This window comes from Homo sapiens, chromosome 15 (assembly GCF_000001405.40).
Source record: "Homo sapiens chromosome 15, GRCh38.p14 Primary Assembly".
Lineage (NCBI taxonomy): Eukaryota > Metazoa > Chordata > Mammalia > Primates > Hominidae > Homo > Homo sapiens.
In genome coordinates, this window is record NC_000015.10 from 77,559,462 (window position 1) to 77,585,774 (window position 26,313).

Below are 26,313 nucleotides of genomic sequence, written 5' to 3' on the forward strand. Positions count from 1 at the left end.
CCCAATATCGCAGGGGGTGTACACCCCCATGTAATATTGTTTGTAATATTCAGCGAGGGAGAGGGTGATACTACTACTCATATTGTAGGGGGAGTACACCTTTCTGTGATATTGTTGGTAACATCCAAGGGGGGAGAGAGAATGATATTACTCCCAATATCGCAGGGGGTGCAAACCCCCAGCGATATTGTTTGTAATATCCAGGGGTGTGAGATGATATTACTCTTAATATCGTAAACACCCTGTGTGTACACCCTTTTTAATATTTTTCGTAATATCAAGGTGGGGAGAGGACGATATTACTCCCAATATTGCAGGGGGTGTACACCCTTCTGTAATATTTTTCATAATATCCAGAAGGAGAGAGGATGATATTACTCCCAATATCTCAGTGGGTGTACACCCCCCTGTAATATTGTTCATAACATTCAGGAGGAAAGAGGATGATATAACTCCAAATATCGCAGGGGATGTACACGCCCCTGTGATATAGTTTGTAATATCCAAGGCGGAATAAGATGATATTACTCTGAATATCGCAGGCAGTGTTCACGCCACTGTGATATTGCTCGTTATATCCGGTGGGGAGAGGTTGATACTACTTTCAATATCGCAGGGGGTGTACACCCACCTGTAATATTGTTCATAATATCCAGGGGGGGAGAAGATGATATTACTCCCATTATCGAAGGGGGTGTACACCCTCCTGTGATATTGTTCTTAATATCCAGCGGGGGAGAGGATGATATTACTCCCAATATCAGAGGGGGTGTACACCCTCCTATGATATGGTTCATAATATGAAGGAAGAGAGAGGGTGATATTACTCCTCATATTTGTGGGGGTTGTACAACCCCCTGTGATATGGTTCGTAATATCCAGTGGGGGAGAGGGTGATATTACTCCCCGTATCGCGTGAGGTGTACACCCTTCTGTGTTACGGTTCATAATATCCCGGGGGGGGGGCGGTGATATTAGTCTTCATATTGTGGGGGGTGTACACCCCCCTGTGATATGGTTCGTAATATCCAGGGAGGCAGATGGTGGTATTAATCCTCATATCGCGGGGGGTGTACAACCTCCTGTTATGGTTCGTAACATTTAGGGTGGTAAGGGTGATATTACTCGCCATATCGTGGGGTTCTACACCTTTCTGTGATATGGTTCGTAATATCCAGGGGAGGAGAGGGTGATATTACTCTCCACATCGCGAGGGGTGTACACCTCCTGTGATATGGTTCTTAATATCCACGGGGGGAGAGGATGATATTACTCCCCATATCGTGGGGTGTGTACACCTCCCTGTGATATTGTTCATAATATCCAGGTGGGGAGGGTGCAATATTACTCCCCATATCGCGGGGGCTGTACACCCACCCCGTGATATGGTTCGTAATATCTGGGGCAGAAGAGAATGATATTACTCCTCTTACCGTGGGGGGTGTAAAATGGTTCATAATATCTGGGGAGGGAGAGGGTGATATTACTCTTTATATTGCGGGGGATGTACACTTCCCTGTGATATGGTAATATTCGGGGGGGAGAGGGTCATATTACTCCCCATATTGTGGGGGGTGTACACCCCCCTGTGATATGGTTGGTAATATCCAAGGAAGGAGAGAGTGCTATTACTCCCCATATCGCTTGCGGGGTACACCCTCTTGTGATATGTTTCCTAATATCCAGTTGGGGAAAGGATGATATTACTCCCCATGTTGCGGGGGGTGTAATATGGTTTGTAATATCCAGGGCATCAGAGAGGGATTTTACTCCCCATATCGTGGGAGGTGTACACCCCCCCAGTTTTATGTTTCATAACATCCAGGGTGGGAGAGGGTGATATTACTCCCCATATTGTGGGGGTGTACACCCTCCTTTGATATGGCTTATAATATCCAGGGGGGCAGAGGCTGATGTTACTCCCCATATCGCAGCAGCTGTACACCCCCCTTTGATATGGTTTGTAATATCCAGGGGGGAGATGGTGGTATTACTCCCCATATCACGGGGGGTGTGATATGGTTCCTAATATCCTGGGCGGGAGAGGGTGATATTACTTTCCATATCGTGGGGGATGTACATCCCCCATGATCTGGTTTGTCATGTTCTGAAGGGGATAGGGTGATATTACTCCCCACATCGTGAGGGGTGTACGCCCCCCTGTGATATGGTCTGTAATATCCACGGGGGGAGAGGGTGATATTTGTCCCTATAACTCGGGGGGTGTACATTCATGTTATATGGTTTGTAATATCCAAAGGGGGAGAGGGTGATATTACTCCACATATCGCGGGGGGTCTGATATGGTTCGTAATATCCGGGTGGGGAGAGGGTGATATTACTCCCCATATCGCGGGGGGTGTACATTTTTCTGTGATGAGCTTCATCATATCAAGGGGGGAAGAGGGTGATATTACTCCCTATATCGCAGGGAGTGTACACCTCCCTGGGATATTGTTGGTAATATCTAGGGTGGCAGAGGATGATATTACCTTCAGTATATCAGGGGGTGTACACACCTCTGTGTTATTGTTTGTAATATCTTGGGGGGAGAGGATGCTGTTACTGCCAATATTGTGGGTTGTTTTCACCCCCCTGTGATATTGTTCTCAGTATCAAGGGGATGGAGAGGGTGATATTAATTTCAATATCACAGGGGGTGTATACTCCTCTGTGATATTGTTTGTAATATCAGGATGATATTACTCCCAATGGGGGTGTACACCTTCCTGTGATACTGTTCTAAATATTAGTGGTGGAGAGGATGATACTACTCCCAATATTGAAGAGGTTGCACCCGCCCCGTGATACTATTCGAAATATTAGGTGGGGAGAGGATGATACTTCTCCCAATATCGCAGGGGGTGTACACCCCCCTGTGATACTGTTTGAAATATCCAGAATGGGAGACGACGATATTACTCCCAATATCTCAGGGGGTGTACACTTTTCTGTGATATTGTTTGTAATATCCGGGGGAGGGGAGAGGATGATATTACTTCCAATATCACAGGGTGTGTACATTCCACTGTTATATTGTTCGTAATATCCAGGGGGAGAGATGATGATATTACTCTCAATATCACAAGGGGTGTACACCCCCCTGTGATCTTTTTCATAATATTCAGGGGGGTAGATGATATTACTTTCAATATCATAAACACCCTGTACGTACACCCTTGGTGATATTGTTCATAATATCCAGGGTGGGAGAGAATGATATTACTCCCAATATCTCAGGGGGTGTACACCCCCTGTAATATTGTTCATAATATTTGGGGGGGGTGATGACATGTCTCTCAATATCGCAAAAGGTGTACACCCCTTTGTTCTATTGTTTGTAATATCCATGGGGAGAGAGCCCTAAATTTCTGGGCTGAGGCTGGGGAAGGCCAGGCTGTTGGGGCCAGAGGTGGGAGAGGGTTGGGTTAGCCCCTATTCAGGCCCCCTGGGTCTTCTACAGTGATTGTCGTGATTATTTCTTCCTTGACTTTTGAGGTTGGCAAGTATTCATAGCAGATCCTGACCAGGCTTCCAAGAGAGCCAGTGGCAGTATACAGAAACTGTTCAGGTGTATACTTGGGACTGGCTCAGAGTCGCTGCCACCACATTCAATGGCCAAAGGCAGTCCAGATTCAAGGGATGAAGAAACTGACTCCACCTCTTAATGGACTGAGCTGCAAAGTGACATTGGAAAGGGGTAGATACAGGGAGGTGTGGGGCCACTTTTGTGATTGATCTACAAAGAGGCGGTTAGAAGCAATTCTGTGAGGGACACCATTCTATTCCATGAGGCTGGTATTTCTGTAGATGGCAAAGGAGAGATGAGGGGGTGCTAAGGTTCTTGCATTCTTGAGGGATGGTGCGATTAACTGCAAAATTGTCCCCCAAAGTTTGTACCAATTCCCACTCCCACCAACCCCAAAGCAGATAAACTGGGAGAGGGATGAAAAATCTTTACAAAGCCTTCTTGTGTCAACTGATTCACCCCAGGATCTGTTACTGACACTTGCCAACCTCAAAAGTCCAAGGAAAAAGTAATCATGACGATCACTGTAGAAGACCCAGAGGGCCTCACTAGGGGCTAATCCAACTCTCTCCCACCTCTGGCCCCAGCAACCTGGCCTTCCCTAGCCTCAGCCCTGATATTTAGGTCTCTGACCCATGTTGAGATCATTTTTGTGCCTGTCACAAGGAAGGGGATCCAGCTTCATTCTTTTGCATATGAACATCCAGTTGTCCCAGCATCATTTGTCAAAAAGACCATTCTTTCTCCCATTGAATGGTCTTGGCTCTCTTGTTGAAAGGCAATTGACCATAATGTGAGGGTTTCTTTCTGAACTCTCATTTCCACCCCATGATTTATGAGGACAAGCTCAAGCTGGCCTGCTGTAGGATGAGAGACATGAGGAAAAGAAGTGGGTCATCCCAGGTGAGGCCATCCTAGACCAGCAGCCCCGGTCAATCCTCCTGCTGACCACAGACTTGTGAGGGAGCCCATCTGGGAGTCAGCCCAGCCCAGCCCAGCCCAGCCCAGCCCACGGCTGCCCAGCTGACTTGGAGACTTGCGAACATAATAAACGCTTGCTTTAAGACGCTAAGCTTTGGGTTGTCAGGTAACCATTATTTATTCTGCCAGAAAACAGATACAGCTCCAAACTGAAGATAGCCCAGATGTCCCTCCGTGTGGGGCTGGTGGTCCTGCAGTACAATGGAGCACCCTGTGGCCATTTAAAAATTGATCCTTTTGTACCGACCTGGAAGGTGTCCATGATATATTGGTGAGGGAAAAAAGCAAGTGGCTGATCAATATGTATGCCATGACCCAATTTTTGTTTTCTTAAAAAAGTCTGTGTATAAAAAAATATAGAACAGGGACACCTCAGAAAAAGCTGGCAATGATACACAGTGAAGCATTCACAGGGGTTGCCTCTGGGGGAGACAAGAGGGAGTTTGAGGTCTTTTGCTTTCTTTCTGTAATTTTTTAAAAATGAAGATTATTTGGAAGAAAAACAAAGTTAGCATTTTCAAAGACTGTGTGTGTTGAAATGGAGGCCAGCTGCCCACACAGGGATCTCCAGCTTTTTCTCCTCTGCCCTGGCTCCCTGGCTCTGCCTCGACTCCTGGCCCAAGCCCACCCCTCTTGCTGCAAATCCCACAGCCTAGACTCCCCACAGCCCCATAAAACCCCTCGATGGCTTTGCCATCCCTCAAGCCTTTAGGGGTTCACTTTCAATACTAGAGCAGGAAGAGCCTTCGGGATCAAGACTCACCTCTTCATGGCACAGATAGAGGCAAACTGAGGCACGGAGGAGGGAGGGATACACCGGAGGCTTCTGTGAGGCTGCATTGGAGCCAAGGTGAGATGCGGGGTCCTGAGGACCTGCCCCCATCTTGGGTGCCCAAGGCCACCCCCTCCCAGCACAGACCTCTGCTGGGACCCATTTCCCTCAGAGGGGGCCTGGAGGATGAGGGACAAGCTTTGTCCCTCTTGGGAGGAGATGACGAAGGTACTGTGAGGGAGAGTAAAAGGGACAGAGGCAAAGAGGAGGAGGGATAGGGTGGAGTGGGTGCCAGTGCCGGCCTCAGCCCAGAGCCTCTGGCAGCAGCCAGATAATAAGCGGGAATAAAAGAGGAGAGAGAGCGAAATGTCACACACGCTCTGGTGCCATTAGCCACCAGAGAAGGGAAATATCACAGAATTAGGCCAGCCTTTGTTTGCCTTTGTGGAGGAGGAGCATGAGGGGGTCTTCGCTGTGGGTAGGTGGGACTGTGCCTCTGGGGATGGGCCTGTTTTCCCGGGGGAGGGGCAACGAGAGGAGGATTTCACGGCTGGGGCTCTGGGACCCTTGGGCCTCCCAATCCCCAGTTACTGGGCCAGATGCGACTCAGAGAGGGGTGGTGGGAATGGGGACAGGGGAGAGATGGGACTTGTTCCACTTCAAAACAGAGACACCGAACTCAGAGGCCTCCTTGCTAAACTGCCTTTGCTGTTGTTTGTTTATATTTCCCTAGTTATTACCCAAGTCACAGAAACACCCGGGTAATAGCTGTAAAATTACACACTCGCAGCTAATTTGGGTACGACTCTTGGCATAGCAGCCGCGTTTTAAGGAGAAATAAACAAGGCCTGAAATAAAAGTCGGCAGGAATACAAATCTGCAGCAATGAGGCTAGCTCCCCCTTCCCCACGCGGCAGCCAGCGCGCGCGTCACTCCTTCCACACATGCGCGCTCACACGCACCCACACATAAGCCCACCCTAGCCCTTCCCATCCATTCCCTCTGCACCCTGACCCCGCTGCCCGCAGAGCAGCCGAGGGGGCTCGTTCCACTGCCCGCCCCCTCCAACCAGAGCCACGTCCTGGGCTAGGCCAGGGTCCTTGTCTTTGCAGATCCAGGCTGCCCTCCCTGTACCGACTCCCGTCCTCTGTGGGTGCCCACGTTCCACTCTCTTCTAGCCAAGGAGGCTTACCATTCATTCATCCACTCATTCATTCGTTCATTCAAGTGTTTCTTGAGCAACGACTTTGTGCCAGGGACAGTGCTCTAGTGATCGGTAAAATAGACGTTGGTTTCTTCTCAGGGCTAATATCTGTTGAAAGAGATGGATATTAGACAAAAAAAAAAAGGAATAAATATGTAATAAGTTAGGATAAGTGCTCTAAAGGAAGAGTGTAGAAAGAGAAAGAGAAAGGGAGGAGCTTTTGGGGGTTCAGGAAAACGCTCTTTTAGGGGAAAGGAAAGGCCTGGGTTGAGGCCTGAAGTGGGATCTTGCTGGGGGCACAGCAGGGGTATTTCAGGTGGAGGGAACAGACCATGCTATTCAAAGGCCTTGAGGCAGCATGGCCAGTGTGGCTGGCAGGCAGGGAGCTGCGGGGATGTGTGGTGAACCGGCCCAGAGAAGCCTCACAGGTGCTATCAGCCACCTTAGGAGCTGGGAAGGATTATAAGGTTTTAAGGGAGGGGTGGTGGTGAAATGAGATCTGATTGATGGCTTTGAAAGATCTCGCTGCTTGGCTGAGAGAAACTTGCAGAGGAGTGAGAGCGGGTGAGTAGCTGGGGGAGGCTGTTGCGTTCATTCTGGGGAGAGATGACAGCAGCCTGGGACAGGACAGTGGTAATGTGGACACGGAGAAAAGGAGGGGTTGGGAGAGATCCTAAAGGCAGACAGGACTTGGAATTCGGGGTGAGGAAGAAAAAGGAGTCAATGAGGGGCCAGTGAATAGAGGAAAATTTCCTGAGATGGGAGAGAGTGCAGGAGGGGCAGGTTTGGGACTGTGTCTGAGGAACATAGAGAGGGTGTTTGAGGCCCCACAATGGACAAGGCTGCCTGGGAAGACAGAGAGAAGAGGTGTTTGGACACGTGTGACACCTAGCTCAGACTCTCTGTGACCACACCTCCCTCCCCACTGTCACTAATAAAATAAGAATAAAAGTTGTAACCACAGTTTGCTGAGAGGATGAAATGAGCCATGTCAGGTGTCATCCCGGTTGCATCCCATTGGACTCTCCCAGGTGCGCATGCAGTGGGGCTGCAGTTGGTCCCTGGAGGGAAGCAGAGCTGGAGCAGCCCCACTGGCCAGTGTCGATACTGCCCTTGGGATCTGCTCAAAGCCAAGGGTCTGTGGCCTGGGAGGTTTTGGAAAGGAGTGCTCCACATGGCAGATGGAACCCCAGGGAGACCCCCAGAGCTCACCCCCGAGACAGGAGAGCTGAGGGTTGATGGGGTGGGTGCAGGAGGAGGGCAGAGAGAGAAGATCGTGGGCTGGACAGGGGGCACAGCCACGACAGCAGGCAGGCTGGGAGTTGGGCCAGGCCACAAGGGGGTCTCCTATCTCTGCCAGGCCGACCTGGGCTGCAGAAACTAATTAGCACAGAACAATGTCCTAACGTGGCCCTCTGACTCTAGCTCACGCCCACACCATGTGGTGTAAGGGAGTGTGGGCATGCAAGCATGTGCTAGAGGCGGGGTGCAGGGCTTCCTCCCTTCCCCGATTCTCCTCTCCCCTTGAGAGACCTGGGGGCAGGTGAAGGACCCGGAGCTGGGAAGTAGGAGGCTCTTGTTTGCCAGAGTCCCCAACTCTGCCCCATCCCAGCCTCCCTGTCTGAGGATTCGAGGGCCCGCCAAGCTCCACTGCACTCCCTGCTTGTCTACCTGTGTGCGTTGAAGGACATTTTGTTCATGTGCATGTACTTTCCATGTTCCTGTGTACTTGGGCACATATGGAAACACACACAGACATCCACGATGTGTTTGTGCATGTTTGTTCAGGCTTGCACATGTGTGTGCACATACAGGTGTGAGACCATGAGGGAAGGGGTTGGATCTGCAGCTGAAGTGATGAGTAGCAGCCTTCGAAGCCCCAGCTCAGCCCCCTCCCTTAAGGAACTCCCACCCATCTACTCCCAGTACATGCCCCTCTGTCCCCATGCTCCTGCAGCTGGAATTGAAACCACTGTGCTGGGGCTGACCACGGGCACTCTCTGCAGGCCTCAGGCTGACCACCAGCTGCTCTGGAAGAGGTAGAAGTTCTCCCTTGTCTCTGTCAGGCTAGGCCCTAGGAAGCCTGCTGTGCACAGCAGTGATTAGGAAGCTGAGTTATGCTGGGGCAGAGGCCCGAGGGTCCCCAGACCTGCTGGTGAGAAGCTGCTGATGCTTTGGGACAAGTCCCCATGCTGGCCTGAGGCTGCTGAGGAAGCTGTGTTCTTCAATAACACCTAGCAAGGCCCTGAGGACCTGGGACGGAGTCTGGCTCTAGTCTCCTTGTCTCTTGGCGAAGCTCTGGGGAGGACAGGCTGCTGGCTAAGCGACCTCCTCATCACCAAGGACATCTGGATAAAGGAGGGCTTGCCATGCATTGGAGAAAGAAGTTTGGTTTAAACATCATAAACTGATCTAGGTTCCAGGACCAGCCTTGCCACTGACACGCCCTTTGGTGCTAGATAACTCCCTCGGGACTGGGTGACTCCCGAGGGCCTGTCTGGCTCAAATGCTTTGTTACTATGATCGAGGCTGAGGCAAGCAACCCTGGGCCATGAAGACCAACCCAGCAGCATGGGTTGGGGGCATGGGCAGGATTTCTGAGGGCACAGTGGGGGTAAAGAGTCGTAGGCCCCTACCTGTTATGAATGTACTTGTACGACCCTGTCATTGCTCGGCATCTGCAGTATGGAGAGGCTCTCCCTAAAACACTCAGGATTGTTTAACAACAATGCGCTCCTCTGAGCTCTGCGCCTTCCAGAGCTCACAGGCCTGCAGGGAGAGAGGCACACAAACAATCACAAGCCAAAGCTGTGATGGAAGTTGGCACGGACAACTGGATCTCCCCTGCCCCCAGCTGGTTGCCCCCAGGCCAGGCCTGGTTTTATACCCTCCTCAGTTCCCTTTGGCACCCAGACAGGACTAGGGAGACAGTGGCCCCAGAAGCAGTTTAAAATTTTTTTATTATTTTGAAAAGGGATTACATTCACATGTTTCAAAATCCAAACAAGATAACACAGCATAGAGAAAGAAGCCTTTCCGCCTTCCTACTCTGTAACCCTGCTTTTCGTTTCCTGTGTGTCCTTTCAGAGCTCCTTTTGCTTTCAAAAGCAAATACAAATACGGGCAGCTTCTGAATGGATGGCCAAGTGACTCTGGAGCTTCCGCGCTGTGTGAGGGCTGGGCTTTCTGTCCCTGTTCACCCTCGAACCCAGGCTTCAGCCACCGCACGGTGAGTATCCATTGGACACTTTCAAATATTTATGAAACACCGATGGATTTTCTCAGTCCGGAGCTGTAGCTTCCATGGAATTTGGCTTTATTAGCCAGAAAGTCAATATTTTCCCTGGGCCACCGCAGAGATGCACATACTTCTATCTTGCCTCCGGCCCCGTGGACCCGGCTGCTCTGCCTGGTCAGCTTCCTGCTGGTGGATCACGACCTTTCTGCTACTGGGAGCTGGCAGGGAAGGACTCAGACAAGCCAAAGCTCAGGGCTGGAGCAGGAGCTTGGGGTGAGGCAGAAGTTTTGTGCAGACTCACTGGGGGTATTGGACAAACCCGTTTCCCTCCCTGAGCCTCTGTTACTCCACCTGAAAACGAAAGGTCTGGCCGATCGCTGAGTTCTGTTGCCGCTTGTTGCGCAAGGGGAGTCTCCCGGGCTTCCCAGACTGGGGCCTCCTAAGTGCGGGGCTGGGTCTTCTTTTGCTCCTTTCTCACCCCCAACCTCCCACACATAGGGCAGTTTGGCTTCGGGCTTTTTCTTCCTCATAGTACAGCAGATTTATGGCTTTGCTATTCTGGGAAGCAGCCGTTTTTCCGTGGGATCTAAGGGGGCCACGGCCGGAGAGCCAGGACCCCCAGGCCTCATCCCAGGTTGTCCCTGGCTCGTGGCTTCTTGCTAGGGCCTGAGGGAGCAGCTGTTACAAAGCTGATGGGATTGGAGTCTGATCAGGGGAGAGGGATGGCCATAGAGCATGGCTGATGGAAGGTTGTGAAAACAGAGCTGAAGTTTCCATAACCCTGAGGTCAGAACAAGGGCAGCAGTGAGAACTAATGAGCTTGGCTGTGATGGTGCGGGGAGGGGAGCTGGGGGAGGGAGGCAGCCAAGAGCAGCCAGGCAGGGGGTCCACCTGGCACCAGGGGAGCTGTGGTGGGGCCTCCAGACCCCTGTGCAGCCTTTTGAAATGTGTGTGTGTGCATTCAATTTTATGATCTTAGGATCTTAAAAATATTTACACATGTATTCAGGTAATCCACGAATAAATTTTCACCACAAAAACTCAAACAACCAGCACATTACACAGGAGGCTCCCTGTCCTTGCGGAGCACCCTCCACCACTTCCTATCATTAGCAGTTTGACACACACCTGGCAGACTTTCCCCACAGATCATATTAATATACAGAATACTGGCCGGGTGTCGGGGCTCAGGTCTGGAATCCCGGCACTTTGGAAGGCCAAGGTGGGCGGATCACTTGAGGTCAGGAGTTTGAGACATGGCGAAACCCCATCTCTACTGAAAATACAAAAATTAGCCAGGCGTGGTGGCGCCCACCTGTAATCCCAAGCTACTCAGGAGGCTGAGGGAGGAGGATCGCTTGAACCCAGGAGCCAGGATCGCACCACTGCACTCTAGCCTGGGTGACAGAGCAAGACTGTCTCAAAAACAAACAAACAAACAAAACCATACAAAATACCTACATGTGCACAGATATGGTGTTTTTTAAATAACATAAATAGGGTCCTACTGATATATCTTGCTCTGGAATTTGCTTGTTCCCCATATGTTTAGGAAAATTGTCCTATGTTAAATATAGATCTATAACTGCTTCGAGGTTTTTTTTTTTTTTTTTTTTTTGAGACTAAGTTTTGAGCCTAGGCTGGAGTGCCATGGCAGGATCTCGGCTCACGGCAACATCCGCCTCCCAAGTTCAAGCGATCCTCCTGCCTCAGCCTCCCAAGTAGCTGGGATTAGAGGCATGCGCCACCACACCCGGCAAATTTTGTATTTTTAGTAGAGACAGGGTTTCTCTATGTTGGTCAGGCTGGTCTCGAACTCCCGACCTCAGGTGATCCGCCTGCCTCAGCCTCCCAAAGTGTTGGGATTACAGGTGTGAGCCACCGTGCTCGGTCGCTTCAAAGTATTTTTGTGCAAATTTTTTTGGGCCTTCGTTCTTTTAACAATTTTCCTATTAATGGACATTTGAGTTGTTTCTGGTTTTTGCTCTGACAAACGGTGGTGCTGGGAACATCCTTGATGATCCTGTCTTCTTGGCCCAGCTCAGACGTTCCCTCAGCCCCCAGGTGCACAGGGCCCACCTGGACAAAGGACAGCATCTGATCCACACACTACCCGAGTAGGAAGGGGCTGAGGCCTGCCCCCCGCCCCCTAGGGGAGGAGCAGAATGCTGAGCCCAAGAGCTGACGCATGCATGGTGGCATTTGGGGCTGTGAGATGCCAGTGGTGGGCTCATCTTGTTACCCCTCACATCATGCCATGCCTCTAACTGCCCACTGTCTCCGGTTCTTGCCCAGGGCAGCCTCAGAGGAGGAATTTTGAGGATCCGAGGGTGGATATGGCACCACTGGCTGCAAACCACATTGGTCTGAGGGGAGCTTGGGGCTTGCCTGGGACGTCCACGATGGGCACCCTCCGAGGTCACACAGCCAGGGTAAAGAGCAGGCAGTTCACCTTCTCTGAGTGCTTGCTTGGTGTTGGGCACTGTGCTGGGGCATTTGGATATGATTTTACTTCAAGCCTGGGTAGTAGCAATGATTCCATTTATCGGCACTGGTAATGCGGCCCAGAGAGGTGAGGTGACTTGCCCCAGGCTACACAGCTGCTTTGCCTGACTGCACAGCCCAAGTCTTCCCATCTTCCTTGGCTGCCTCCCTTTGGCCTTTGGCCCCCCACTGAAGCCAGGTTTAGAGCCGCACAGGCCTCTTGCCACCCTGGCGGCTGTCGGGGGAAGCGGTTAGCGGTGATGGACCGTCTAGGACCCTTGGGCCGCCCGGGCTTCTGCCATCGTGGTGTCACTTGGCATAGCAAGAAGCATCCCCCAGGATCTCGACTGGCGTTGGAGTGGTGTGGGGCCCAGGTAGAGTTGGGCCAGCAGGTCCAAGTCCGGCTTTGGGGTCAAAGGGCAAGGAGAATGGCCAGAGACCCTGTTGGTGGGGCGTGAAAAGTCAAGGCCGTTCCTTGACTCTCCGTGTTAGGGTCTAGGGCTTTCTTCATATTTTCCAAAGTATCTGGGACCATAAAAGAGGTTCTAACTCTGTGGACTAAGGCATATTCTCTGGTGCAGGGAGAAGATGGTTCAGACCACACCTCTACCCTGACTCAGCACACACAGCTGTACCGTCAGGGGCTGCAAACCAACATCTCTCAGGGCCTTCCTGGAAGCTGCGGCTGGACTCCCCTTGTACTCCAGGGGAGCATCCCTGGAGGCCCAGGTCGGGGCTCCTGGAGGGTCCCTGGGTTCTGGGGGACAGAAGAACAGGTGAGCTGGAAGCTTTTTTGGGGAGCAGGAGGTATGAGGGCAGTTGGAGGGTGGCACAAGGCTAAGTCTCTTGTTTCTCTCTCTCTCTCTCTCTCGTTTCCACCAATGGCACTTGGCAGGGAGGAAGAATCCAGATGTGGCTCACTGGGCTCTGTGGATCTGGCACTGGAACAGCTGTCCAGGCTTTGGGGCCCCCGACACCCCTGCTGCTCTCCCTCAGGCCCCAGATCTGCTTGGGCCCCCAGTGGGCAACCGCTCGGTGCTGGCCCACCACAGGGAAATATTCCGGTGGAGGTAAGCTCTGTCCTGTTCTCAGAGAGCCCTGGCCAGGCCTGGTAGATAAATTCCAGGCCAAGCCATAGGATTTGGACACTGGGGCTACAGGAATTCAAGAAAGAAGAATAAAGAAGCAGCCTTGAGTATTAGTGAATGTGGCCTGACATTGGCAGATGGCTTTAGCACAGCCTTCCTGGAGGAAAAGGAGGAGGGAGACTGCACTGAACGGGTTTCTGAAACTTGTGCCCTGACGCCAAGCATACCACCACATCACTTATAGGATGTGCAAGTATAAACAAGGGATTTTGCCGCTCTGCTCCACAGTCTCCTTGTCTATGAAATGGGAGTAATAATAGATTCGAACCCAGAGGGATGTTGGGAGGATTCCAAACGTTCATAGTGGCGCCTGGTGCAAAGCAATTGCTCAACCAAGATGAGCCACTGGGTTGCTGTTTCCATCACTGTGATTAGAGGATGGGATGAATAGGAAACGGTGGAGAAGGGAAGGGCAGGCGGCCCAGGTGGCTGCCGAGGTGGGACTAACAGCACCAAGGCTGGAGGAATCTCCTCCACCCTCTCCCAGCACAAGGAGGGAAGCACAGGCTTTGAAGTTGCTGAATTATCTAGGGTCCTGCCCCAGCACCCATACTCTGGGGACCAAACTTTGCCTGCTTTTAGCCCCAAGTTCTCTAATGACTGATGCCATCGGTTCTAGGTACGGTGAATGGATTGGGAAAGATGTCTGGGGCCCAAGGCGGAGTAGGAAGTAAGTGCATGTTTGCCTATTGTGATCATGCAGAAGACCACCTCTTCAAGGAGGTGACGGGTGGGTGCACCAGGCTGAGTCGGTCCACAGAGCCTCAAGAGGCAGGACAGGTCCTTTCCAGCTTTGGGCCTCTCTTTTCCTCATCTGTGCAATGGGAAGGTGTGGCTGGACCAGGTGACCAGAAAGGCCCAGCTGTGAGTGGCTGTCCCTGGGCTGGCAGTCCAGGGCAGGAGCCAGAAGTGGAGGATGGGGGGGTGGGCCTGCCTTTGAAGAGGCCCCCCCAGAGTGGAAGGGTGGGCAGAAGGCTGGGATAGGGCAGAACCTGTCCCTCCCTTCTTGCTGCCTGGCAGGTGACAGCTCCTCCACTCCCTGAACAAGGCAAGGCTGACTGACGAGAAGGCTGCAGAGCCAGGCTGTCAGCAAGTGCCCCCTGCCACCTTTGCATGACTAATTTGCATAATATTTGCACAAATCTGCATAATTTAGGAACCAGCCAGTGCTCATCTCGGGTCGTACAACTGGCTGTGATTTTATGAGCTTTGAAGTGGCCCTTTCTTCTCCTGCCCACAGCCCCTCCTACCTTCCTTTGCTCTGAGTCTGGCCTGTCATCCTGTTGTCTGCCTACCTCTCTGGGGCTGGTGGATGGGCCTCCCAGACTTTCTTGGGTCCCCAGAGAGAGCCCTTCTGCAGCTGCCGAGTGGAGTTGCCTGTGAACTGTGACACTGGTCTCCATGCAACCCTCCAAGGGGCCATCATGAAGGAGATTTGAGGACCCTGAGAAAGCTCTACATGGTTCATCAGGAGTAGGTGAGGCCAGAGTGACCAAAGCCTCTTTTCTGACAGGGCATGAGGAGGCAGGTGTCTGCGCTCCCATGAGGCTTTGCACTTGATGCTGGTGAGGCTGGGATAGTGCCCTGAGGATCAAGGTGCAGGACAGGGCAGAGATTGTGACTGCCTGGTCAAGCAGCTGCCCCCAAGGGAACCAACTCACAGTTACTGTCAGTCCAGGTGGATGTCCCTATAGCAGTGCCACAGCGCTCTGTCCCTGCCCTTTCAACATTTTTATTCTTAGGTTAGTTAAGGTTTTCTTGGGTACAAGTAGCATGAACTCCAAGTGGTTTAAGCAAAAGAAAAAAAGAGAGAGGATTTACTCTCTAATGTAACTGAGAAATCCAGGGGTATATGGGCTTCAGGCACAGCTGGATCTAGAGGCTCAAACACTAGCATGAGGACATTGTCTCTCTCTGTCTTTTCTACCCTGCTTTCCTCAGTGGTGGCTTAAACTGGCTCCCTCCCTGCCATGGCCCCTGGAAATGCTAGTGTTATGTCCTACTGGCTCCAAGTCCAGGAGAATCAGAACATCTTCCCACCAGCTCCAGCTAAAATCCAGAATTTAGTGGTATTGATTTAGCTTGGGCCGTGTGCCCAAAGCTGAACCAAGTGTTGTGATCAGAAGCATGTGGCCCTTTCAGTGGTCAAGCCCCACGTCACATGCCGACCCTCAGGGGCATGGGAGGAGTCAGTCCCACTACAAGGATTGAGGGAAGGGGGAGGTTCCTTGGGGAATACTAGGGACTCCTCCCAGAAGACAAGGAAGTGGAGAACTGAGCTGGCAACCCCAGCTGGCCATGCAGGGCCTTTCTCAGATGAATCTGTGGGTACCAACTCCAAGCACGGGGATCTGGAGATTCGGAAGGGAGAGGTTTGTGAGGACTGATGAGTTTATGGATGGGGACACATGGTGGGTGCCTGGCGATGGGAACTTTCTTCCTTCTGTGAACAAAGGCAGGGCTTGGGTGGGATTTGAACCCAGCCCCACAGTTCCTGGGCACTTGGTGGGGCACAGTGCTACGACTCCCAGTGATGCAGAGCCCCGAGCCACCCACCTCTAAAAAATGAAGACAATGAGCAGAAGGGAGGGCGGTGGCCACTGGTATAAGGAAGGGGAGGTGCTGGAGTTGAGCTCTGAAGGAAGGTAGGCAGGGCACCCTGAGTTTCCTTCCAACAAACGCTGAGCGAGCCAGGCCCTTTTTTTAAACAGGGAGACTGAGAGGAAGGGAGTCATTGCAGACACAAGAAACCCCACTTTAGCAGAATCCCTCATCAACTGCCCGGCCCTCCATCCCATCCCATCCTATTGGAGGCCAGAACTGGTGAGTCTGCGTTCCTGCCTCCCACCTCCAACAAGCTCAGCACTTTCCCTGCTCACTCAGGTCCCTGGCTGCCCAGTCCAGGATTGAGGCTGCAGCTCAGGCCCCGAGTTCCCCGCCCTGCCCACACCCTGTGCTGCCCGGGTTCATGTGGGGCCCGCAGAGCTGGACTCCTCCTCATTGAGATTCTGCCCCAGGGAAGGGCCAACACTTACCAGGCACTCACGATAAGGCAGGTGCTGGGCTAAGTGCTTTCACTCATTAATTAACAACTCGATGAGAAAGATATGATTATCTTCCTCCCTGCTTTACAAATGAGCAGGCTGAGACCCAGAGAGCTTGAGCAACCTGCTTAAGGTGGCACAACTAGCAAATGGCAGGGGGGTGTGAACCCAAGACTGCAGACCCTGGGTTCTTTACGTTGCAGCCTGTCCCCTCCTCTCCCTGTGCCTCAGTCCCACCGTCTGTTCAATGGGCAGAATATCACCTGTGTGCCATGCTGCCAGAGGTATGGGAGAACTGAATAAGATTTTAGAAGACAGGGCTTCAGCAAAGGTCCTTTAAGCCAGAGCCCTTGTCCTCACTGCCAGGGAGGAGCAGGGGGAGGCTGGAGCGCACAGCCCGCAAAGACTTGGGCAGACAGAATGTGTGAAGGAACATGGTCAGCTGTGCCTCATGCTGGAGGAGGAGGAGGAGGGGGAAGAGGGGGGACAAAGGGGAGGAGAAGGAGGAGGAGGGGGAGGAGGACAGGCCTGTAGGGGTTGAGACTGAGACCTTTGCTGGAGGCCTTTGGTGGAGGTGAGCGGAAGGCAGCTGTCCAGGCTGCACGGAGCAGGCTCATGGCAACCACGTGTGGAGGATTTCAGCTGGAAGGGGAGAAAGGAAGGAGGGAGGATGGAATAGAGTGAGGAGAGGGCTTTCTGATGCCAGAGGAAATAAGGCATGCTTGGGTCAGAGCAGGAGCCACCCAGAGAGGGAAAGGGGACACCTCCTCATCTCCCAGTCACACAGCCCTTGCTGGTGGCTCTATGACCATTAACCATTGCCTGCTCGCCATGGCCCCTGCAGTATTCATGTTGTACCCATTTTACAGAGGAGAAAATAGAGGCTCAGAGAAGCAAAGCTCCACTGGTTCTCCCAGCCTGGGGGTGCTTGGTCTGGAGTTCACAGGTTCTGCTCTCTGCCTGCCCACCTGCTCTCTGTGATTAGAGAAGTACAGGTAGAGGTCTTACTTTTTGTACATTGTCACACTATTCTCCCAGAGCTTGGCCATTGAGCCCTCCTTTGTGGGCTCTTAGGGCAGCAGGAAAGCCCACTTGGGTCATCACAGCCTCATATGTGACTGGTGTTCCCATAGCCCCTGCCTTCCCACAGGGGAAGAGTCAAGCTCAGGCTCAGAAACATGCTAGCAGTTATTGCTGTCTCCAAGATGACAAAATGCTTCTGAGGGTGGTGCTCTCCCCAGCTCTCAGGATGTGCACGCAGAGGCTGGTGCTGTCTGGGCCTGGGCTAGTGTGGTTGGGATCGCTGCCCTGCATGTAAGGTGTCCTGGCCCGCTCCGATGTCCTTCCCAACTCTTAAGGAATTCCATGCCTAATCATGGAATTTCCAGCAGGCCAGTTGATCAGAATGGGTGCATGTGTGTGTGTGTAGGTATCCTCTCAGAGCCCCTCCAACCTCACTGTGTGGTGGGCTGCCTCCTCTCTCTATGTGCCTCTCCCTGCCCCAAGTTCTCCCTGGACATGGTATGGGCAGATCCTCATAGAGACAGCCAATATTCCCTTGTGGGTGACCACAGCAGCTGCCCAGAACAAGAGAGGGAGAGAGAAACCAGGGCCTGGGCATGGAGCAGTGAGCCGGCCTCCCCCTCTAGGCCATGCAGCTGGAGCCACGTGATGCTCATTTGTGGAAGCCGGCTCCTGCAGCCACTGGGTGTCCGTAGGAAGCTGCTAATCCCATCTCATGCCTGTTCTCTCCTGGGGGCCAGCTTCCGGAAGATCAGCCTGCCCACTCTCAGGAGACATTTGGGGTGCTTCCTGGCTTTGCCAACTGATTCCAGGCCCCTGGTGGCTGTGTGAATTTCCTTCCAAGTCCTCGTTTCCACAGATGCCAGCTTGCAGGCCGACTGGTGGTTACCCAGCAACACGGCAAATATTTGGGCCAGCCAGGCTGGTCCATGCCCCCATCCTCGATTTAGTGAGACCCTAGAAGCATGCAACCTTGCCAGCTTTGCCTACTTTGAAAATATCTGGGCACTTAGTAAAAATAACTCCACTCAGCAAAAACCTTTCCACTGACCCCTTACTCCAGGGCTTTCTATCTGAGGACCTGGATGGGTAAGTGGGGGACAGGCAGAGATAGAGGGAGGAGGGTGAGAAGGCTGCAGGGGCCAGTGGAACGAGGAAGCAAGAGCTGAGGGGTGAGAAGGCCCAGGTTTAGACCTGGCTCCCAAACCTCTGACGGGTGGGAATGGCAGACTGCACACACCGCTCAGGCAGGTGTGCCCCAACTCACCCTTGTTTCCCTGGCCCTCAGATCTGTTCTGCTCCCAGGGCTCTGCCCCACATCTCAGTCCTGGGCCTGCAGCACCCCCACTTTATCCATCCCGCTAGAACCTGGCTCCTCCCTCCCAACTCAGGAAACATCTGTGTCCCAGTGGTCTTCACACCACACCCCTTAACTCTTGCCCCACTCCAGCACTCCATCTCTCTCCTGGGGGCCTTAGTGGTCCTCTTGGCTCCTCCAATTCAACCTGCACACTGGACCCAGAGCCTGCTCTAAAATGCAAACCTGCTGCCCTCTGAGATCCCGTTTAGAATCCTCTAGGCTTTCCTGTGTCGCCTGCAAGCCCCCCAGCTGGGTACTTGTGCCCTGCCCATTTCCCCAGTGCCTGCTCCCCCTCCCCTCCAAAATCCCCATCCAGCCATGCTGCCCAGACCTCTGGGCCCTTGCCAGGGCTGTTCCCTGGTACCACCCCCCACTCCCCACACACCTCCCAACATGAACCTGGCTACTCCCAGCACCTTCTTGGGGATGCTCAGATTGGGCCAGCTCTTCCGGCATTCCTGGCCTGACCCCCGTCAGTCCCTCCAACACTGAGCAGTGATTTTACCTTCACTGATCTGTCTCTCACCGTCCAGGCCCCAGCCCTAGTCCTGGTCCATCCACCACCACTAAGGAGCTCCTCCTGGCAGGGACCAGGTCTGCCAGCCCGCACACTGCCTTTGTGAGAATTAGAGACACCCTTCTCCGGGTGGCCACAGCCTCACATTGTGGTGCAAGGCTTGGCAAGTGGAGCATGGGCTAGACTTCAGCCCCTTCCCCCTCGGCTGGGCACGGTGATCCTGGAATGCACTTATCTTGACTGTCTCTGGGGCTGGCTGGCATAGAGCGGGCACTCGAGGGAGTGGGCTGAGTTAAGGAGGAGTGAGCCCTGTCCCTCACAGGGGCCTCTCGTCTTGAGCCTTCTGCCCCAGCTGGTCACAGCTCCCATAGCGGGTTTCAGTTTTCTTCTTGATCTTGGGTGCTTTCAGCTGTGTCTGTGGCAACAGGGCACTCACATGGATGGGGCTTCCAGCCTGGCACCTGGCTAGGTCCAGCTGGCGCTCTGTCTGGCCTCGAGCATGCTCATTTCCCCAGGGAGTGTACTGATTTCACTCCTGCTCTTGGTGACACTGTACAAACAAAAACCACTGTGGGAGGCTGGGCACGGTGGCTCACGCCTGTAATCCCAGCACTTTGGGAGGCCGAGACGGGAGGATCTCTTGAGTTCAGGCATTCAAGACCAGCCTGGGCAGCACAGTGAGACCGGGTCTCTAAAAAGAAAATTATATTGAATTTAAAAACTACGGTTGGAACTGACAAGCTGGGGTGTCCCAGATAGGGAGGGCCTGGAAACAAGAGCCAGGAGAGGTGGCTGGAACCTGGGACAGGGAGGGGCAGATGCCGAGGCAGGGCTGCCATGCAGTCCTGGGGCCTGGGGCCTGCTCAGCCTCACCCCCACCCCAATCCTTCCCTGCATCAGGCTGTGGCTGCCTCTGGGGATTTTCCTGAGAAGAGGCAAAAACTGGCACGTCCATCCTGTCTCAGGTGGGGAGCAGGTACCAGGCTCACTGGGGCTGGGAAAGGCACAACAAGCCCCCACGCAGTCCAGCGTCTGGCGGGGAGAAGGCTAACCCTGCGAGGCTCTGTCACACTTGGAGAAAAGCGCAAGTCCTCACAGCAGCCTACATGGTCATATTGGTTCGGCCCCCTCTCCTCTCTAACCTCAGGGTTCATGCTCCCCCCACCCCCAGCTCACACTGCTTCCCCCATGCTGGCCTCGTCAATGCTCCTTCTGCATGCCAGGCACACGCCCGCCTCAGGGCCTTTGCACTTGCTGTTCCTGTGGCCTCAGATCCTCTTAGCTCAGGCCCCCCGGGACTCACGGCTTCACCCTCTTTGCATCCATACTCAAGGACCATCTTCTCAGTGGGGCCTTCCTTGACCACTTCTTTAAATTACAGCTCCTCCCTAGCACCCCCAAGTCCCTGCTTAATTGTTTTCCATAGTGCCTATCACCATCTGAAATACAATTCATGGGTGGGGATGATGGCTCATGCCTGTAATCCCAGCACTTTGGGAAGCCGAGGTGGGAAGATCTCTTGAGGCCAGGAGGTCCAGGCTGCAGTGACCTATGATTGCACCACTGCACTCCAGCCTGGGCAACAGAGTGAGACCCTGCCACTTATTTCATTTGGTGTTTGTTTCCCCTCTAGAATGTAAGCCCCATGAGGTCAGAGACTTTTCATTGCTCTATCCCCAGTGCATAGGATAGTAGGTAGAATGAATGAGAGCTTATAGAATAAATAACGGAATGACTAAATTACAGTAGTAATAATAACAATAGCAGCTGTCATGTTTGGGCACCCACCTGTGCCAGGAACTTTGCGTCTACTATTTCTTTGAATCCTCTCATGCTTCCTATGGTGAGAACACTCAGGCTCAAGAGGTGAAATGACTTTCCCAAGGTCACCCGGCCAGTGGGGGACTGAGCCAGGCTAGTTGTACCACACATCCTGGAACGTACCCACGACATGGCTGCTAACAGCAGAAAGGGGCTGCCTCCAAGGCCTGCCCTCAGCTCTCGCCATCTGGAGACTGTTGGCTTTGGCCCTGAGACCCCAGTGCACCCCCAGACCCTGACATTCCTGACCCAGGAGTGGGTCAGCGATGGACCAGAGGCTTGGACTGGGAGAGATATATGAGTATCCACCCTTTGCTCCTAAAGCCGTGGACCCGCACTGTTCTCTGTCCTCTGCCAGGCCCTCTGCCAGGGCCATCCGACATCTTCTCATGGCTGGCCCATGTCAATGTTTCTACTTGCAGCTTCCTAAGAGTATGACTTAAAAGGCATGGCTTTTAACCTCCCTGCTGCCTGGCCCGTCCCCTACTGACCATTTCAGCAGCACACGAATTATTTTCCACCTCAACCTCTTTCTAAATCTACTTGTCACTAGCTCTTCTCCTATTAGCCCCCCAGCCACTCAATCCCCTGCCATTACCTCCTCCAGCAGGGTCCCCAGGGAACGTTGTGTATGAAATTATTTTGTGAAACCCAATAAAGATTTTAATCAGGTCAACATCATTACAGGAGAAGGAAATGATGGATCTTCTCTGATGCAGAACAAATGTGGAGAAGAACAAAAGCCCACCAACCCGGCAATCCATGCCCTTGTGAGCACTCGCATCCACGCACGCACTGCCCCCACTGTCGCGCATGGGTGCCCTGCACTTGCACACACCCGTGCATGCCCACGGGGTTTTGCACATCATTGAACAAGTCCCTGCCTCCCTCTAGGTTCTAGTTTTGTCATCTGTACACTGGAGGCTTGATTGCTGAACAAGTCTCTCCTGCCAGCTGGCGAGACTCCGTAGCCTGGTGCCTGCTGGCAGCTGTGCCCTTAGTCACTCTTTGCCGCCCACTGCTGAGAGATGTTACCTCAGAGCATAGGGAATTCCTGTGTAACGCCCCAGCCCCTGCCCCGGCCCACACCTAACACTTGTGAGGTATGGGGTAATGGTACCAATGGAGGCCCACACACCATGTATCTAGATATTTAAAGGTTATCAATCAAGCCAACAAATTGTTAAATAAAACACGTTCTGGGCTCCTCCCTTGCCAAGCAGCAGCCTGGAAGGCCAGGCTCAGCTATGGAATTGTCGGGAAGAACTGACCCTCAGACCCCAGCCCCAGGCCCTGGCCCAGCCCCTCCCCTATTACCCTACCCTGAGCTCTGTGCCACCCTTAAAAGGACCTTGTTCACATATGTGGGGACAGACACCCCGGCTGACAAGGCCAAGCTCTGCCCACTCCCTCCCCGCTGCACCCACCCCCGGGACACCCCTCAGGACTTGAGTGTGCACATTGGCAGGCCGAGGGAAGAAGCCCGTTTTGGCAGAGTTCCAGGGTCCTCTGAAGTGCAGGGCTCAGGCAGGGGCCTGTCTCACCTGGATTGAGGGTGGCTGACCACCCCCGCCCCCGCCATGGGGGTGAGTGGAGGAGAAGCAGCAGAGGTCACCCCCGGGTCCTGACAAGGCCTGGGCCTCCCACCCAGCAGCCAGCCTTTAGTCCCCTCTTCACCTGGACCTCTCTCCACGGTCTTCTTCTGTGGCGAGCGTGCAGCCGCATTTAAGGGGTGTGTGCCAGGGAGACGTGACGGGAGCACAGACATGCCCCGGAGTGGGCAGGAAGTTTCTCTGCACCTGCTCAGTGCTGTGAGCTTCCTCCTTCAGGGATGTGGGTGGGGATGCAGGTGGAGAGGGACACCAGCCGGGGCACTCATGTTGGGGAGAGGACCAGGTCAGTGCAGCGGGAGGACCCCTCGCCACTCTCCTGGGGGCTCTGTGGGTGCTCTCAGAGCCCTGCCCCAAGGATGCCTGAGGCTACTAGAAACCCCAATTAGTGTCTTGCAGATCCTGGAAGACAAATCCACTAACCCATTAGTGCCACTATTACTCTCTTGCAAGGGGAGCCCTGAATGCAATTGAGGGGAGACAGCCTCGCTCTGATTCATTTTCCGCCCATAAAAGGGGCAGTGACAATGGCTGTGCTGGGGATCCTAGGCCAGTTGCAGGGGGCTGGCATCTCTGGTGTGACTAGGGTGGGGACAGAGAAGATAAGCGCCCACCAGCCTGGCTCCCCACTCTCCAGCCCGGCGCCCATTCCTCCTGGCTGGAATGCAGGAAGCTGCATAAACTCCCCTGTCTGGCTCTCACCCTTCTGATATTTACAGAAGCCTCTCCCTCCTGTCCTTCCAGATGACATCTGAGCCTCCATCTGGGCCAGCAGCGTAGTCTTGAGGGCAGGGCCAGGAAGCTGCTTGGCCTGACTCCCTCTCAGGGGACCCCCCAGGCTGATGTGGAGGGGAAGTAGAATAGAGCCAGAGGGCTTGTGGGGGAGGCTTCCACTCCATGGAGTCTCTCCTGGGCTCCTCCCCAGCCTCCCTGGTAAGGGGGCACTGACCCCTCAGCAGACCTGCCGTGATCTCCTTGGCTTCTCACCAGGAGGTTTCTTCTGCAGTCAGGGCCCAGGATTGCTCCATGTTCTGCACAGTCTACCTCTCCTCTTCCTTGGCCTTCCTGGCTTTGGTGCTGTGGCCTCTCTGACAATCAGGATTTGGGATGGGGAGGGGACAGGGCTTGCTCTCTATGGGCCCCCAGGCTCCCGGGTAACACCTTGCAGGCCTCTCTGCCTATGTGCCATGGTCTCCCCCATGTTTGTCTCCCCCAAACTCATATGTTGAGACTTAATCCCCAGTGCAAGAGTATTAAGAGGTGGGAACTTTAGAAGGTGATTAGATCATGAGGGCAGAGCCCTCACAAGTGAGATTAGTGCCCTTTAAAGAAAAGCCCAAGGAAGCTTGTTTGCTCCTTCCACCATGTGAGGACACCATGAGAAGGGGCTATTTACGAGGAACAGGCCCTCACCAGACACTGAATCTGCCAGCACCTTGATCTTGGACCTCCCAGCCTCCAGAGCTGTGAGCAATAAATGTCTCTTGTTTGTAAGTTGCCTAGTCTAAGGTATTTGGCTATAGCAGCCCCGATGGGCTAAGACACCATGCATGAACAGTGGTACCAGAGTAATGGCACTACTGGTGCAAGGAGAGGCCCAGGAGGAACTGTACTCCCTCAGAGGACCAGGTAACCATCTTAGTGGCTTTGGAATAAGCACAGGAGAATAATCACTGATGTCTTTGTTTATAGGCCTGGGGCTCTAATGTGGACTGTGGCTTAGGCAGTCATCAATGACCCTACCAGTGTATTTTCTTTTCCCAAAGCTCCAAAACAGCCTTGAATAGTCAACAATCTTGCCAAAGAAGGAAGCAAATCTTTATTGAGCTCTCACTATGTGCTGTGCACTGTGCTACTATTATCTCATTTAAAGTTCAAAATAACCCTTTAGGGGAGTTGCTATTGTCTCTATTTTGTAGGTGAGGAGATTAAGGCTCAGAGATTACATGATGTTTCGACAATCTCTGTGTGGCAGGTGCTGGAGGGCCCTGCCGGTGCCCTCATTAGTCCTATGATTGTTCACCCCACGGCTTCTCCCTGCAAGCACCTGCAGTTCTTGCTGAAGGGCTACCTCTGACCCCTGGAGCTAGCTCAGCCCGTGGATGGGGTGCCCCAGCAATGCCGGGAGCTGTCACTCCAGGAAGCAACCTCAACCGAGGCACAGGGAGGTGGTGGACAAATACTCCAGCCTGCTCTCCCAGTGCATAGGGCAGCTCGGAGGTGTGCTCTTTGCTGCCCCTCTGAGGCCCCCAGTGAGACTAAACTCCCGTGGCCATAGCAGTCGCCTTCTCATGAATGCACCCTGTACTGGCTTCTGTCCCTTCTCTGTCTCACTTCCCCCTCCCCTCCCATTGCTTCCTGGGGTCACTTCCCAAATAAATTACCTGCACTCTAACCCTTGACTTGGGGTCTACTTCTGGGGAACCCAGCCTAAGACCGTCATGCATGTGGTAGTTGCCTGCTGGGACTGTGTCTCTTGGGGAGAGGACATTTTCAGTCTCACAAAAGCAAACCCTGGGCTCTGATCTCATGCCTTCCTCAGGGGTCCCCATTTCCCTCAGGACAAAGTCTGGACTCCTGGGAGGGGGGTCCCCTCTGGCTCCCACACCCTCGTGCAACATCTGAGAACTCACCAGACTGCGAGGCCCCAGGAGGCTGTGAGCTCCGGGGAGGTGAGAACAGGGACCCGGCCCCAGTGTGGCCCCCGGCAGATGCTTGGGACAAGGACCGGCTCCTGGAGTGAATGAGGGCGCTGGCCATGCTCTGGAAGCCCAGGACAAGGGCATGGTCACTTGGCTGGGGGTGAAGGAATGCCTTTCCCATTACCAGCCCAAGGGCGCTGCTGAGAGGAAAAGACGTGAATCGTGGAAACAACAATTTGGCGCTTGCTGTGATTATTGGAGCGTTGGTGCCACTCTCCTTTGCAATTTCAGCGAAAAGCCCTTTCTGCCAGAAGGGAGTCTCCCAGTTCTGTGGCAAGGTGGCCTTGGGCTCTGCCAGGGCCATCCCCCTGCAAGTGGCAGGAGCCTTAGAGGTGGCTTTGGGTGTACAGGACTGAAGGGGCAGGCTGGGGGAGAGAGCAGGGTGGTGGGGTGGAGGTGGGGGCTGTGAGAAAAAAGCAGCTGCGGGGAGGGGCAGGGCATGAGAGGGGCTCCTCCACTCCAGGTCCTTGGGGTATGTGTACCCCCAGAGGAGGGCGGAGTAGTGAGGAGACCCTGGGCCTGTCACCTATGGGGGCAGCTTTGCAGTGAGTTTGTAATATCTTTCAAATGAAGGACAGGAGTCCTCCCTCCCAGTCTGTTCTATCCTGACGTCTCCATCTCTCTCTCTACAACACAAAGGGCCTGAACTCAGTGACATTTTGGAAAGAGCACAAGGTTTGAAGTCTGTCTCCACATCCTCACTCTGCTACTTACTGGTTTGTGACCTTGGCCTTAATTTTCTCATCTGCAATATAGGAACAGTAATAGCAAAATCTGCTTCCCATGGCTGATGAGGGCATACGGTTCGCTCTTCCATTCAACACAAATTTGCGGAGCACTTTCTAGGTACAAAACAGACATAAATCCCCACCCTCATGAA

General features: G+C 53.4%; 1 long non-coding RNA gene across 3 annotated transcripts in view, besides 6 other annotated features; it reads left to right on the top strand.

The window, feature by feature from the left end:
• Positions 5,918-6,782: an enhancer, noted in NCBI's record as "H3K27ac-H3K4me1 hESC enhancer chr15:77857721-77858585 (GRCh37/hg19 assembly coordinates)". NCBI's record gives its function as "activates a minimal SCP1, AML or CMV promoter by ChIP-STARR-seq in primed H9 embryonic stem cells {active_cell/tissue: H9 hESC(primed)}" and the evidence as "EXISTENCE:reporter gene assay evidence [ECO:0000049][PMID:30033119]".
• Positions 9,398-26,313, top strand: part of LOC105370906 (uncharacterized) — a 61,603-nt gene continuing 44,687 nt past the window's right edge. The window contains exons 1-3 of one of the 3 annotated variants that reach the window (XR_001751806.2): positions 9,398-9,715; positions 12,790-12,984; positions 13,104-13,278. This is a non-coding gene — a long non-coding RNA (uncharacterized LOC105370906). The other 2 variants (XR_932495.2, XR_001751807.2) reach the window with 2 other exon arrangements.
• Positions 11,603-12,103: an enhancer, noted in NCBI's record as "H3K4me1 hESC enhancer chr15:77863406-77863906 (GRCh37/hg19 assembly coordinates)". NCBI's record gives its function as "activates a minimal SCP1, AML or CMV promoter by ChIP-STARR-seq in naive and primed H9 embryonic stem cells {active_cell/tissue: H9 hESC(naive and primed)}" and the evidence as "EXISTENCE:reporter gene assay evidence [ECO:0000049][PMID:30033119]".
• Positions 12,104-12,604: an enhancer, noted in NCBI's record as "H3K4me1 hESC enhancer chr15:77863907-77864407 (GRCh37/hg19 assembly coordinates)". NCBI's record gives its function as "activates a minimal SCP1, AML or CMV promoter by ChIP-STARR-seq in naive H9 embryonic stem cells {active_cell/tissue: H9 hESC(naive)}" and the evidence as "EXISTENCE:reporter gene assay evidence [ECO:0000049][PMID:30033119]".
• Positions 14,312-14,812: an enhancer, noted in NCBI's record as "H3K4me1 hESC enhancer chr15:77866115-77866615 (GRCh37/hg19 assembly coordinates)". NCBI's record gives its function as "activates a minimal SCP1, AML or CMV promoter by ChIP-STARR-seq in primed H9 embryonic stem cells {active_cell/tissue: H9 hESC(primed)}" and the evidence as "EXISTENCE:reporter gene assay evidence [ECO:0000049][PMID:30033119]".
• Positions 22,465-22,965: an enhancer, noted in NCBI's record as "H3K4me1 hESC enhancer chr15:77874268-77874768 (GRCh37/hg19 assembly coordinates)". NCBI's record gives its function as "activates a minimal SCP1, AML or CMV promoter by ChIP-STARR-seq in naive H9 embryonic stem cells {active_cell/tissue: H9 hESC(naive)}" and the evidence as "EXISTENCE:reporter gene assay evidence [ECO:0000049][PMID:30033119]".
• Positions 25,180-25,991: an enhancer, noted in NCBI's record as "H3K4me1 hESC enhancer chr15:77876983-77877794 (GRCh37/hg19 assembly coordinates)". NCBI's record gives its function as "activates a minimal SCP1, AML or CMV promoter by ChIP-STARR-seq in primed H9 embryonic stem cells {active_cell/tissue: H9 hESC(primed)}" and the evidence as "EXISTENCE:reporter gene assay evidence [ECO:0000049][PMID:30033119]".